Source organism: Homo sapiens, chromosome 2, assembly GCF_000001405.40.
Source record: "Homo sapiens chromosome 2, GRCh38.p14 Primary Assembly".
In the NCBI taxonomy this organism is placed as follows: domain Eukaryota; kingdom Metazoa; phylum Chordata; class Mammalia; order Primates; family Hominidae; genus Homo; species Homo sapiens.
This window is the reverse complement of record NC_000002.12, coordinates 85,162,307-85,175,627: the sequence shown is the minus strand read 5'-3', so window position 1 is coordinate 85,175,627 and position 13,321 is coordinate 85,162,307. Positions and strand designations below refer to the sequence as shown.

General features: G+C 47.3%; 1 protein-coding gene across 2 annotated transcripts in view, besides 1 other annotated feature; it reads right to left on the bottom strand.

Moving 5' to 3' along the window:
• TCF7L1 (transcription factor 7 like 1) overlaps window positions 1-13,321 on the bottom strand; it is a 176,996-nt gene that overhangs the window by 134,760 nt on the left and 28,915 nt on the right. The gene's annotated exons all lie outside the window — the stretch shown is intronic.
• Window positions 12,219-12,718: an enhancer, noted in NCBI's record as "H3K4me1 hESC enhancer chr2:85390033-85390532 (GRCh37/hg19 assembly coordinates)". NCBI's record gives its function as "activates a minimal SCP1, AML or CMV promoter by ChIP-STARR-seq in naive H9 embryonic stem cells {active_cell/tissue: H9 hESC(naive)}" and the evidence as "EXISTENCE:reporter gene assay evidence [ECO:0000049][PMID:30033119]".

The following is a 13,321-nucleotide window of genomic DNA, read 5'->3' as shown; positions in this document are numbered from 1 at the left end:
CTGGGGATTACCTGATCCATCGGGAAATCACAAGTTGACAAGAGGACAAAGAACAGGGTGTACCTCATTGTTGTCGATTTGCTTATCTCAAGTTGCACCCACCCCCCATCCTGGCTACCCATGCTCAAGCCTATGACCAGGAGGGAGGGGAAGCACTTGCCCCCGTGGCTCCCCACTGCATGGACGTTATCAGGGGTCTTGCTGGATGGTGGCCAGGCACCTGTTACTATCCTGTGGAATTTACACAGCTAGGCATGGTCAGAAAGGAAATCCATGGTTCAAATTTTTATCAAAATTCGGGTAATTTTTCAGCTAGCTCAGCCAACCATATGCTTTCAGGAAATAACAATTGTGGGGGCAGGGGGTGGTAAAGCAGGCTTCAAACTGATTTAAACCTGATCCCCTGTCCAAAGAGCATTGTACAACTGAGCAGGTGTCTCCATTCACACTTCCACCCTCTCCAGTTACATGGCAAAGGGCTCACAACTCCCAGACACTCAGCCAGCCAGCATTCACAGAGAGCCCACTGTGAGCTGCGCCGGGCGGGCCAGGGACAAGGATGTCACATGGCGCTGCCTGTGCCATGTTACAGTGAGGGTTTGGTTGAGGCCATAAGGCAAATCAACGATATCAAAGACACAAAACCACACACATAAACAAAAAACCACACACTTAAACATAGTAACACTTTGAGACGGTCATGTCCAAAAAGGCCTGAGGAGCTGGTCTAATATGAGGTCCGGAGGAAGAAAGGTAGGGTCGGGCAGGGACCTGCAGTGACCCAAGGATGTAGGAGCAGAGGCTGGATGCCCCAGCAGGGCCCAAGTGTGAGAAAGCTGGAGGCCCTGGGCATAGACTGCGAAGAAACCAGTTGGGCAGGAGTGAAAACTGAAGAGAAATGATGGTTGTCAGGCGGAGTCAGGGGGATGCTATCCCATGAGGAGGCTCTCAGGTGCTAGGCTAGTGAGTTCAGACTTGACTCACCAGTCAAAACACAGGAACACTGACCATCTTACACACTGCACACCAGCACAGAACAGCCACAGAAATGGGGGAAGGCCCATTTTTGGAGTTGACAGTGACCAGTTAAATGAGATGCATGTACCATTGCTGAGCCTCATACCCACCTGCCAGGTGGGCAACATCACCTCTTTTTTGGAAGCGAGGAAACCCCATTAGCCTTGAGCCTTGCATCACATTTCCAAATGACTCAGTGGTAGCCATGAAGTAGAACGAACCCAAATGATGAATGGATATACAAAATGTAGTATATCCATATAATGCAGTACAGTATTTGGCAACAAAAACGGAGGAAGTGCTGATACACACCATGACACAGAGGAACCTTGAAAACACCAGGCTAAGTGAAAGACACCAATCACAAAGACCACACACTGTACGATTCCCTTTATATGACAGGTCCAGAACATAGAAAAAGAAGGCCGGTGGCTGCCAAAGGTTGGGGGAGAGGAGAACAAAGTGACTGCTAATGCAGTGATGAAAATATTCTAAATTTAGATAGTGGTGATGGTTGCACAATCCTGTGAATATATTGAAAACTGCTGAATTGTACCCTTTATAAGAATGAATTCTGGCCGGGCGCGGTGGCTCACGCATGTAATCCCAGCACTTTGTGAGGCTGAGGCGGGCGGATCACAAGGTCAGGAGTTCGAGACCAGCCTGACCAACATGGTGAAACCTTGTCTCTACTAAAAATACAAAAATTAGCCAGGCGTGGTGGTGCGGGTCTGTAATCCTAGCTACTCAGGAGGCCGAGGCAGGAGAATCGCTTAAACCCAAGAGGCAGAGGTTGCAGTGAGCCGAGATCGCGCCATTGCACTCCAGCCTAGGCAACAGAGACAGACTCCGTCTCAGAAAAAAAAAGAATGAATTCTATGGAATGCAAATCTCAGTAAAGCTGTTGTTTAAAAACTGGCTTAAACCAGGCACCGTAGTATGTGCCTATAGTTCCAACTGCTCAGGAGGCTGAGGCCAGAGGACCCCTTGAGTTTAGGAGACTTCGATATCCCTGTCTCTTGAAAAACAAAAACTGGCATAAATGTATTTGCGATTCCCCTGCCTTCATATATAGGATATGTGTGATTCAATTTAATCTTTATTAATAATTCAATCAATAGGTACCCTGTGCTGTAATCAAAATCATGCGCCCCTCCTCCCCGCAGAGTGCTTCTATATATCCCCCCATGGTGCTGTTTCTGTTTTTCTGCCTCCTGCCTGTCTCCAGTGCTCCCTGTCAGGCTGTGGGCCAACACCTACCTGCTGTTTGGAGCCCCCCACCCCCTCCGTACCCACTCCCCTGCTCCTCCACACCCCTGCAGCTCAACTGTGCAAGGGCAGGTCTGTGCTTGTGCCAATGCTCAGAATGAATAGTTTCAATCAGTCACCCGGTGAGGCCCCTCTGCTCAGACAGAGCAGGAAAAGATGGGGAGAAGACAAGCTTGTTATCTTCATTTTCCTTTTGAAAGGAATATTTATTTGGCAAGTTTAACTTTTCTCAGGAAATAAGGTGTGTGTGGGCAAAGGCGGGAAATTTCGATCTTTTAAAATACTGCTGCCACTCATTTATTCGTTCTTTTAGAAACGTTTCTTGGGCACCTCCGGTGTGCTGACACTGTCCGGGTGCTGGGGTAGACCAGTGAACAAGCCCTTGTGGCGCTGCTGTGGTAGCGAGTGGAGACGGGCAATGACCAATGATGGCAGGGGTGCTCTGGACTCAAATAAATCCAGGAGAGGGGTGAAGAGGGCTGGAGGTGGGGCGGACGCTGCAATTGTAAATAGGGTGGTCAGGGGAGGCCTCACTGAGGAGGTGACGGTTAAACTAAAGGAGGGAAGAAGTGGGGAGCAAGCCTGCAGTTGTGAAAGGATAAAGAATGTTCTAGGTGGCCGGGCGCGGTGGCTCACGCCTATAAATCTAGCACTTTGGGAGGCCAAGGCGGGCAGATCACCTGAGGTCAGGAGTTCGAGACCAGCCTGACCAACATAGTGAAACCCCGTCTCTACTAAAAATACAAAACTAGCCAGGCGTGGTGGCACCTGCCTATAATCCCAGCTACTCAGGAGGCTGAGGCAGGAGAATCGCTTGAACCTGGGAGGCAGAGGTTGCTGTGAGCCGAGATCGCGCCACTGCACTCCAGCCTGGGCGACAGAGCGAGACTGTCTCAAACAATCAAACAAACAAGAATGTTCTAGGTGAAGGAGGCACAGAACAAGTGAAAGGCTGTGTGACAAGAGTGTGCCAAGTGAGTTTGGGAATAAGAAGTATGGATCAAACAAAGTTGGTGTGGGGGTGGTGGCCACAGGGGCCACGGGGAGGTCAGCTCAGTGGGAAGAATTCTGCCTTCTCTCCAAGGGAGAGGAGGGCCGACCATTACCTCAATGGCACCCCATGGCCCTAACATCATTGTCTGATGCTTGTTGGTATACCAAGCTGGACGTGGCTGAGTGGGATGTGAGGTGGGAAGCACTGCGGGGCTCCCCTGGTGGACACGTGGCTGCAATCAGGGCCTTCTGGTGGCAACATCAAGGACATATTTCAAACAGGCCTCGGGGAGGACACTGCACATCTCATTGGACGGTGCGGGAGAACACCTAGGAGCAGTGAAGACTGAGAAACTGGTCTCCCCAAGGTCTACGAGGACTCAGGCAGTAACCCGGGATGTGTTTAGGGCAGTGTGGGGGGAGGGGGGAAGATGGGAATGGTTATCACAATAGGATAAAAACAGTAGCTACTGAGGTACCAGGGACACTTGACATGTACACGGTAAACTCTACATTTTACAAGAATCTGGCAAAGGAGATGTCACAATCCCCATTCTGGAGATGCAAGATGGAGGCTTGGAGAGTCCAAATTATTTGGCCAAGGCGGCAAAGCTAGCAGGCAGGAGATGGTCAACTCCAAGCCCCAACCAGCCTCACTTCCTGGCTCTATCAGTGAAACTGCATAGAATTGCTAACCATCAACTATTTCTGACTTATAAAAATGGCTTATAAAATTTCATATGAACCCTATTGAAGAGGATTGGCTTTCCCAATATTTACCCACAACAGAAGCTCTGAAGGACTCTGACAAAGGCAGATCATCTCATTCATGTCTACTGCCCAGTCCTGTGAGTAGCAGTACACACCACAAAGCTCTCAAGCCTGGCTGTGGTCAGAATCACCCTAGAAGTTGTTGTGGATTCCCAGTTCTGTCCTATCTGGAGCGGAAATTACAGGGGTGAAGCCCAGGATGTGCATTTTAAAACAGCACCCCCAAATCATTCTGACATAATCCTTCTCATGTGGTTTGGCTCTGACCCCACCTAAATCTCGAATTGTAGCTCCCACAATTCCCACGAGTCATGGAAGGGACCCGGTGGGAGGTAACTGAATCATGATGGCAGGTCTTTCCCATGCTGTTCACGTGACAGTGAATAAGTCTCATGAGAGCTGATGGTTTTATAAAGGGGAGTTCCCCTGCACATGCTCTCTTGCCTGCCACCATGTAAGACGTGCCTCTGCTTCTCCTTTCCCTTCTGCTGTGAGGCCTCCCCAGCCATGTGGAACTGTGAGTTCATTAACCTTTTTTTCTTTATAAATTACCCAGTCTCAGGTATGGCTTTATTAGCAGCATGAGAACAGGCACCTTCCCAAAGTCTAAAAAACCAACAGCCTCATTATTCCTTTGACAAGCGGCTACAGAACTAATTTCAAGATATGCATTTTCCAAGATGTCCCTAGGCAGGAAAATCCAAGGAAATTCTTTTGTCCACAGCCCATCTGTTGTCTTTCTGTTGTGGTTCCAGTCGGGGAATGGCTGCAGCAAGGGAGACTGCATCACACCTACTATGTGCTGGCTTCCTGGGCAGACGGGAAAAAATCACTTTCAAAACTCCACTCTGAGTGGGTTTCCTGGGCACCATTTTTCTTTCCTGGGATGTCCGGGTACTAAGATCTTTATGAGACAGAAGTTTCTCCAATTAGCAGAAAGAGAGAGAGCGAGAGAGAGAGAGGAAGAAGAATCAGAGAGAACTCTCCCCCTTTACAATAAGGGAAGAAGTCTTTGGATAACAGCAGGAAGGCAGTGGCAAAAGGAACCAAGGAAGAGCTACTGATTATAATTGGAGGCTCTGGCTTGTTTTAGAACACAGTGGCATGGCACCAGGAACAAACCCATGATTTGGCACTCCAAACCCTGAGCATAGCTATTTGCTCCTTAAATTTTTTTATATCTCAATTTTCTATATTGCTCAATTTTCTTTTGATGAATATGTATGACTTTTACTCCTCCAAAATTGACTTGATTTTACAAAGTGAGATTGCTCACTTTGTTGAAAATGCCAGGCTTGATGCTTCTGAAAATGAAATCCACCTATGGAAGATACAGTCTCTGCCCCAACCCTAAGATGACCCAGCAGAGCAAAGTCAGCTCCAGTCTCCACAAAGAAGGGAAGGTGGGGTACACAACTCTACTCACTGGGCTGCAGGAGCTATTCCAGAGAGTGAGCACACTGCTGGCCCTTGGGATCTCATCCTCCTCTCTCTGAAATATTCATCTTTCAAGGCTATCTTGTCATGCTCTAGATCCAAGTTTGCAGAACGCAGGTTTATGCGATATCAACTTTTAGTAACAAGAAAGTATTGTTGGCTCTTCTTTTTCAATTTGGATCTTTCACAATTATCTCAAAATGAGTTTAACTATCTTGTGCCCAAGTAAAACCTAAACATTATCTTAAAAAATCCTGATTGCCAGGCCCTTGCATTCCAGGCTAATGACTACTGTAATTATAAACTCCAGTCTGTGCTGGACGAGTCTGCCAAGGAAGAACCCAGACCAGGGCTGTGTGGCCCTGCATCATGGGAGCTGGTTGTACTGTCACCTAGCAAGCACAGATGCAGGTACATGGCAGCACGGGTGCCCAGAGCAGACCAAAAAATACAGCCTTGGTTAAAAATCCCTCCCCTCCCGTTGGCTAGGGAGACAAGGCCTCTGCACTGAAACAATTAGGGAACAACACAATATGCTTTGTCTTGTTCACCAATCACACATAGATAAATGACAGGTAGAAGTTATAAGATAATACATCCTATAAAAAGGCAATTGTGTTTGATTGTGAGGTACATATGAGAAAATGTGCACTTTGGGAGGCTGAGGTGGGAGGATCACTTGAGCCCAGGAGTTCGAGGTTGCAGTGAGCTATGACTGCACCACTGTACTCCAGCCTGGGCAACAGAGCGAAACTCCATCTCATTAAAAAAAAAAAAAGAAAGAAAGAAACTGTGGACAGCAGGCGAATCTGGAGTTCAGGTCATCAAAGCCAATGTTGTTAGGCCAGCATGCTAGGGGGTAGAGTCTGGAAGGAGGTAGAAGCGCACTAGGTGTGTTCAGTGGGGAAGGTTCAGAGACTGCTGAATGAAGGACTGATGAGAAGGAAGGCTGACCTGACCGAGTGAGGTCAGATGGGGAAAGCCTTGAGAGTTACACAGGGAAGTTTAGACTTGGTGTGTGAAGTGAAAAGGAGCAATTGTGGCTTTCCTAGAAATGAAGTTATGAAATGATGGTGTTTTTTGGAAGATGAAACTGACACTAATGGGCAAGGGAAGTTGAATGGAGGAAATAGAGGCAGGAGGTTCTCAGATTTATTCTGTCCTGGGATTGCAGCAACCCTGTCCTCCTGCCACAAGTTTAGTTTCAAAAATCATATTTAGACTGGGTGCGGTGTTTCACACCTGTAATCCCAGCACTTTGGGAGGCCGAGGTGGGTGGATCACATGAGGTCAGGAGTTTGAGACCAGCCTGGCCAATATGGTGAAACTCCATCTCTACTAAAATACAAAAATTAGCCGGGTGTGGTAGCGGGTGCCTGTAGTCCCAGCTACGCAGAAGGCTGAGGCATGAGAATCACTTGATTCCGGGAGGCGGAGGTTGCAGTGAGCCAAGATTGCACCACTGCACTCCAGCCTGGGTGACAGAGTGAGGCTCTGTCTCAAAAAAAAAAAAAGTCGTATTTACAGATGGACCTGTGGCCCTCCTCTGATAGCCTGTCCCAGGTTCAGTCCACGCAGCTCTACCAGGCGGTGGGTGGATGGTGCTCAGACTCGGCAGCACCCAGCTCCATGACTCCCCGACACCCCCACACCACCTGAGGTGTCCCCCTCAGGGACAGTGTAGGGCCTGCCTGGTTAAACCACCCCTACCCCTCCTTCTCCATCTTCACTGTTCCCACACTTACTCTTTTTTTGTTTTTTACAATTTTGTTGAGGTATGATTGATATACCAAAAAACTGCACATATTTAATATAGATAATTTCATGAGTTTGAACACGTGCATACATCCATAATACCATCACCATGGTCAGGGTAATAAACACATCATCACCTCCAAAAGCTTCCTTGTGTCCCTTTGTGTGTGTGTGTGTGTGTGTGTGTGTGTGTTTGGTAAGAACACTTAACATGAGATTGACCCTCTTAATAAAGTTGTAAGTGCCCAACTCTAAACCATGGGCACTATGTTGTACAGCGGAGCTGCAGAGCTTACTCATCTCATATCTGTAACTTTACACCCACCGAACAACACATTTCCCTCTTCCCCCATTCCCTGGCAACCAGCGTTCTTTAAGTTTGACTATTTTCGATCCCACATACAGGCAGAATCATACAATATTTGTCCTGTGACTAGCTTATTTCACTTAGCATGATGTCCTCCAGGTCCATCCATTTGTTGTCACAAACGGCAGGATTTCCTTCTCCTTGTTTATTTTTTTGAAATAGGGTCTTGTTCTGTTGCCCAAGCTGGAGTACAGTGGTGGGATCTTGGCTCACTGCAGCCTCGACCTCCTGGGCTCAAGCGATCCTCCCACCTCAGTCTCCCGAGTAGCCGAAACTACGGGCATGTGCCACCATGCTCAGCTTATTTTTGTATTTTTCTTAGACACGGGGTCTCACTGTGTTGGCCAGGCTGGTCTCGAACTTCTGGGCTCAAGTGATCTTCCTGCCTCAACCTCCCAAAGTGCTGGGGAATACAGGCATGAACCACCATGCCTGGCTCCTTCTTTTAAAAAGCTGAATGATATTCCATTGCGTGCAGAGCCCACATTTCCTTTAGCCATCCATCTGTCGACGGATACTCAGGTTGTTTCTGTAACTTGGCTATTGTGAATAGTGCTGCAGTGAATGTGGGGGTACAGATCGTCTCTTTGACAGTGATTTCACAATTTTTTTGGATATATACCCAGTAATGAGATTGCTGAATCATATAATTCTTTAATTTTTAATTAATTTTTTGTTTTTTGAAGAACCTCTATACTGTTTTCCATAGTGGTTGCACTCAACACTTGCTCTTGGGAGCTGGTCTTGTACCATGTGCTAGCCCCTTACCCCCCAGCCAGTCCCACATTGCTGGAATCAGCCAGGAGAAAAGGTAGGGTGGGAGAATGATACTTGCAGGTGTAGAGTAGGCGTTATCTCTGACTATAAAGGTAAGTACTTAGCTGAAAACTTTAACCAAGGAAACTGGAAGAAATGGCAAACGAAAAATAAAAATAGAAATACATGCACCAAAATTAGCCGGGTGTGGTGGCCGGCGCCTGTAGTCCCAGCTACTCGGGAGGCTGAGGCGGGAGAATGGCGTGAACCCAGGAGGCAGAGCTTGCAGTGAGCCGAGATCACGTCAGTGCACTCCAGCCTGGGCGACAGAGCAAGACTCCGTCTGAAAAAAGAAAAAAATACACGCACCAGCATTGCCAGATATCTAAAACCATAAAACCCAGACACAGTATGAACATTATTATCTTTTGTGGTTGGAGAATGTAGCTTTCCACTTAATCAGATGTCCTGGTCAACTGAGAGGTGCTAAAGAGACAATCAACCCATGACCAGCTTTGGGACAAAACCACCACCTTAGTTTTTGAGTGTGCTCTGGGATTTGTATCAAATGCCTTCCCATCTACTGTGGTAATCGGATCTCACATTATAGGCTGTAGGAAGCCATGCCCAGCAGTGATGTCCGATCTGACTGTACTCAGCACAGTCAGTTCCAGTGTGCATGGGAAGGATAGGGCAGGGCTCCTGGGTACCCCCATGCCCACCAGGCTAAGACCTTACCCTACAACCCTTACCACGCCACCCAGGTCTAGTCAGGGCATCTCTATTTATTCCTGACCTGTCCCCTCATTGCCTATGAGGCCTGGAGCTCTTCTCTGAACCCCTGAGGACTCAGCTGGTGCCCTTGTGCCCTGCCCCTCACTCACATTATTCCTGCTCTCCAGCCCAGAGAAACATACTCTGCTCCCAAGGTCTAGCCCCAGAGTGCTTGTGCCTGTGAAGCAAGAGGCCACTGGCACCCAAGACTCCTGCTGCAGTGCTCCAGATCCAGGCTGAGCCCTGTAAATAATAGCCCACCTAGCACTGGACTCCAAATACTCTGGGGCTCAGCCCTACAGTCAAATCTCTACCTCCAGCCCCAAGGCTGACCAGACAGGTGACTCAGGAGGCAGATGTTACAACCACCACTGTGACCTGAGGCTAAAGGACAATTTAACAGAACTGATGCAAACTCACTGCCATTTGCCTCCCGATCAAGTTTTAAAATAAGTTCCATAAAACAGCTCTGTATCTGATTGTGGTGTTAGTTACACAAATTTATACATGGGATAAAACTGCATAGACCTGTCCACACAAACTACACACACACACAAAACATGAAGAATGGTGAGGGCTGAAGGTCTGTAGTCTAGTTAACAGTAATGTGTCAGTGTTGATGTTCTAGTTTTGATATTGAACTTCAGCTACATAAGATGACACCACTGGGGAAGCTGGAGGAAGTTCTCCCGAATCTTATGTCCTATTTTTGCAACCTAAGTCTATCATTATTTAAAAATAAGAATTAAAACAAAAAACAAACCAAGTTCCATAAACCTAATGATCTACAGCAGATTATTTTCACATCAACCAGGGCCCATGATCTGGCACCATACATGTTTTTCCAGGCCGCCCCAAACAGGTCTTCCAACCCCAGCTTTAGTGTTGTCATCCAACCAGCCTCAGCGTCTCCAACACACGCCACTCGGGCACTGGAACTTTGCACATTTCCAGAGTGACCCAGAAGGTCACGTCTCAAGGCAAGTAACTCTGGAAGGAGTGGGTATTTATTTTGCCTGCAGCTCCTCTCAGCCCCACTCACTTGAGACTGACTGGCCAGGGACAGGGACCAGCTTCCCAAGAAGGATCTAACAGGACTGGAGGGCAGATTTAAGGCTGGGCTTGTTCAAAAGCTTCTACCTAATCACCTAATCTCTGATGTCTTTGAAAAGAAGGCAAGCCGTAGTCTACACAGGCGCACATGTGTGCACACACACGGCAGCCTCAAGGAGCCAAAAAGAGGAGCTGTAAATTTAACTATTAATAAATCAAGCGATGGTCAAGACTGTAATCTAGAGTTATCTCCACTTACAGGATTTATTCACTGACTGGGAACAGGAAACAGTTACTATAAATGCAAACCAAGGATCCCTATCCTCTTCAATGCCACAGACCACTCCTTGGTAGGCTAGGGAAGCCCACAGAGGCCTCCACAGAATGATGCTAAATGCACAAATTAAATACACAGCATTGCAAAGGAAACCAATTACAGTAAAATGCAGTTATCAAAATATTTTATATTTTCCACCATGGTAATATTTAATTAACATATTAAATAAGACCTAGCAGCGAATCTCATAACAACCTTAATTCTGAAGTATTAAGAATTGCTAAGGATAACAGTATATCAAGACATTTACAATGACTCTACCACACTGTAAAAAATTAACTTTGCTTTCATGTACCTATAAATACATCGGTGTACTATGTACCCACAAACATTTTTTAAAAATGCACTTTGCAATTGCTACTGGTGACAGTCATGAGAACTGTTAATGTCCCTGTGGTTTATAGTCTACATTCATAATTGAAGAAAATGCCAATTTTCAGTTAGTGAAAATAAAATGTAATTTCTTTCCATTCAGGTTTTTGGAGCTTCCCTGAATTCTGTCTGTGGGTGGACTCCAGCTGAGAGCCTCTGACCCCAGCGGTTGATACAGAATAGCTACGGGAATGGAACGCCTCCTCCTCTCCATAACCCTGCCACTCCCCAACCTGTTCACTAATGAGATGTCCATTCCAAAGTAGCCTCGCTTTAAAACAAACCCCTCTTGTCCAAAGAGTTTTCACAATCCTCTCCAGCTGATGTTTAACACTGCCCCTGACCCCAGCCTTCATCTTAGGCAAGAGGGGCCCATCTCTCACAGTTCACCTCTCCCTTCAGCCACTGCTGCCACTGTGAGGAAATTAGGGGAATTATATTCATCTCTGGAGGAGCCTGAATGCAAACAATCATCCTCTGAGTGTACCCAGAAGCCAGGGAGCAGACGCCAGTCAGTGGGCAGGTTCGTGCTGAACGCTGACAGGCAACCAGCCCTGGGCTCCGGTGTTTTGAGCAATTTGAGGGTGAGAGTGGGTGTAAAGAAAAAAAAATATGCAGCTACCCGTTAAAGGCTGCAGTCAAAGTGGCCGGCTTGGAAGATATTTGTTATGGGTTGAATTGAATCCCCCTCATACACCCCCAACAAAAAAAGTTATGTTGGAGTCCTAACCCCCAGTACATCTCAGACGGTGACCTTATGTGGAGACAGGGTGTACTATGTATGTGTACTATGTGGAGACCCTGTCTCCACATAAGGAGATAATCAAGTTAAATGAGGTCATTACAGTAAGCCCTAATCCAATTGGACTGCTATCCTTATAAAAAGCAGGAACAGAGACAGACATCCACAGAGGGAAGACTGTTTGAATACACAGGGAGAAGGCAGCCCCCTACAAGCCAAGGAGAGAGGCCTGGAGCAGATCCCTCCCGCACAGCCTCAGAGGGAACCAACCCTGCCGACACCTTGATCTCAGACTTCCAGCCTCCAGAGCTGTGAGACAATGACTCTTTCTGTTGTTTAAGCCTCCTAGCATGCGGTACTTTGTTATGGCAGCCCTAACAAATTAATACAAAAATACAACATTCAAAATCAAACGTATGGCCTGAAACAAGGAAATCTTACTTTGGAGCTTATCACATCCTTTATGTTTGCCCACTGATCGATCTGAAATTAGATTCTGTTCGGAGTCTGCTTCTGGTCGGGCAGGAGGGATGGTCCGAGGTAGGTCTGTTGGATGATGTGACTGGGTGATGGAGGGGCATAGGGAATCCAGGAAAGAACTGCTGGCAACTCTACCACCAGCCCATGGTCTTATGGGGGAGGGGGGCCAATACCTCACTAGGCAGGGATCTGTTTAATCCTTTCATTCAGATATTCAGTGAGGAGCTTTCAACTAGAGCAGTGGTTTGCAAACTTGGCTGCATATTAGAAGCCCCTGGGGAGCTTTTAGAAAATTCCAGCAAAGCCTGAGCCCCACCCCAGACCAGTTGAATCAAAATCTTTGTGGGTGGAGGCTGGGCATGACCATTTCTAAAAAGCTCCCCAGATGATTCAAATGTGCAGCCAGGGTTGAGAGCCACTGGACCCTACGACCTTGGAGGGCCTTTCCTTCTCAGAATCCGGCGAGAGTGCATTTTGTGTTTATTTTAGTGGTTCTGGGGAGTGTGCTCTGGGGCTGCCTGGAGTCTGGTTTCCTACAGGTTCAGTCTACGGCGCCCTTTACTGGCTATGTGTGGATGAGTAATTCGGATGAACAGCGGGGAATGGTGGGAAAAAGGGAGCTGAAAAGGACTTTTCTCCCTTTCACTAAAACATCAATTCAGTAAGCTTGTGTTACAAAGCTCCTCCGTGCCAGCAGCTCAAAGGTGAACCAGAACCAAATGCCCAGACTTCTAGAAGCTCAGTCTCATTCCAGAAACAAACTGACAGCTGCTACACAAAACGGGGCGTACCACAACTCATGTCCTTATCAGTGTCCCTGCGGCAGAGGCTCAAACACCCCCAAGGCAACCGAAGGTGACCCCAGAGATGGTCTTAAAGGAGAAACAAGAATGTCTTCCATGGGGACTAAAGAATATCAGAAGGTTTGACCCATGATGGACTAAAATCATTCTGTTTGGCTAAAAATAGAGAAAATACGTCTTCACAGACCAAGAAAATTTGGGAACCACTGCTCGAGTGAAGCTGGTGTTTAATAAGGGGTGGCCTGGCTTGGGTAAAGTAGTGCCTGACCTTCCAGCAGGGGCTGCCTTCTACCTGGATCCACAGAGCAGCCTGGGATCCCACTGTGGCCACCCTACCTGTGTACCAACTTTTAAAAGTGAGCTTTGAATAAATGTATGTTCCAGGGCCCCATGTC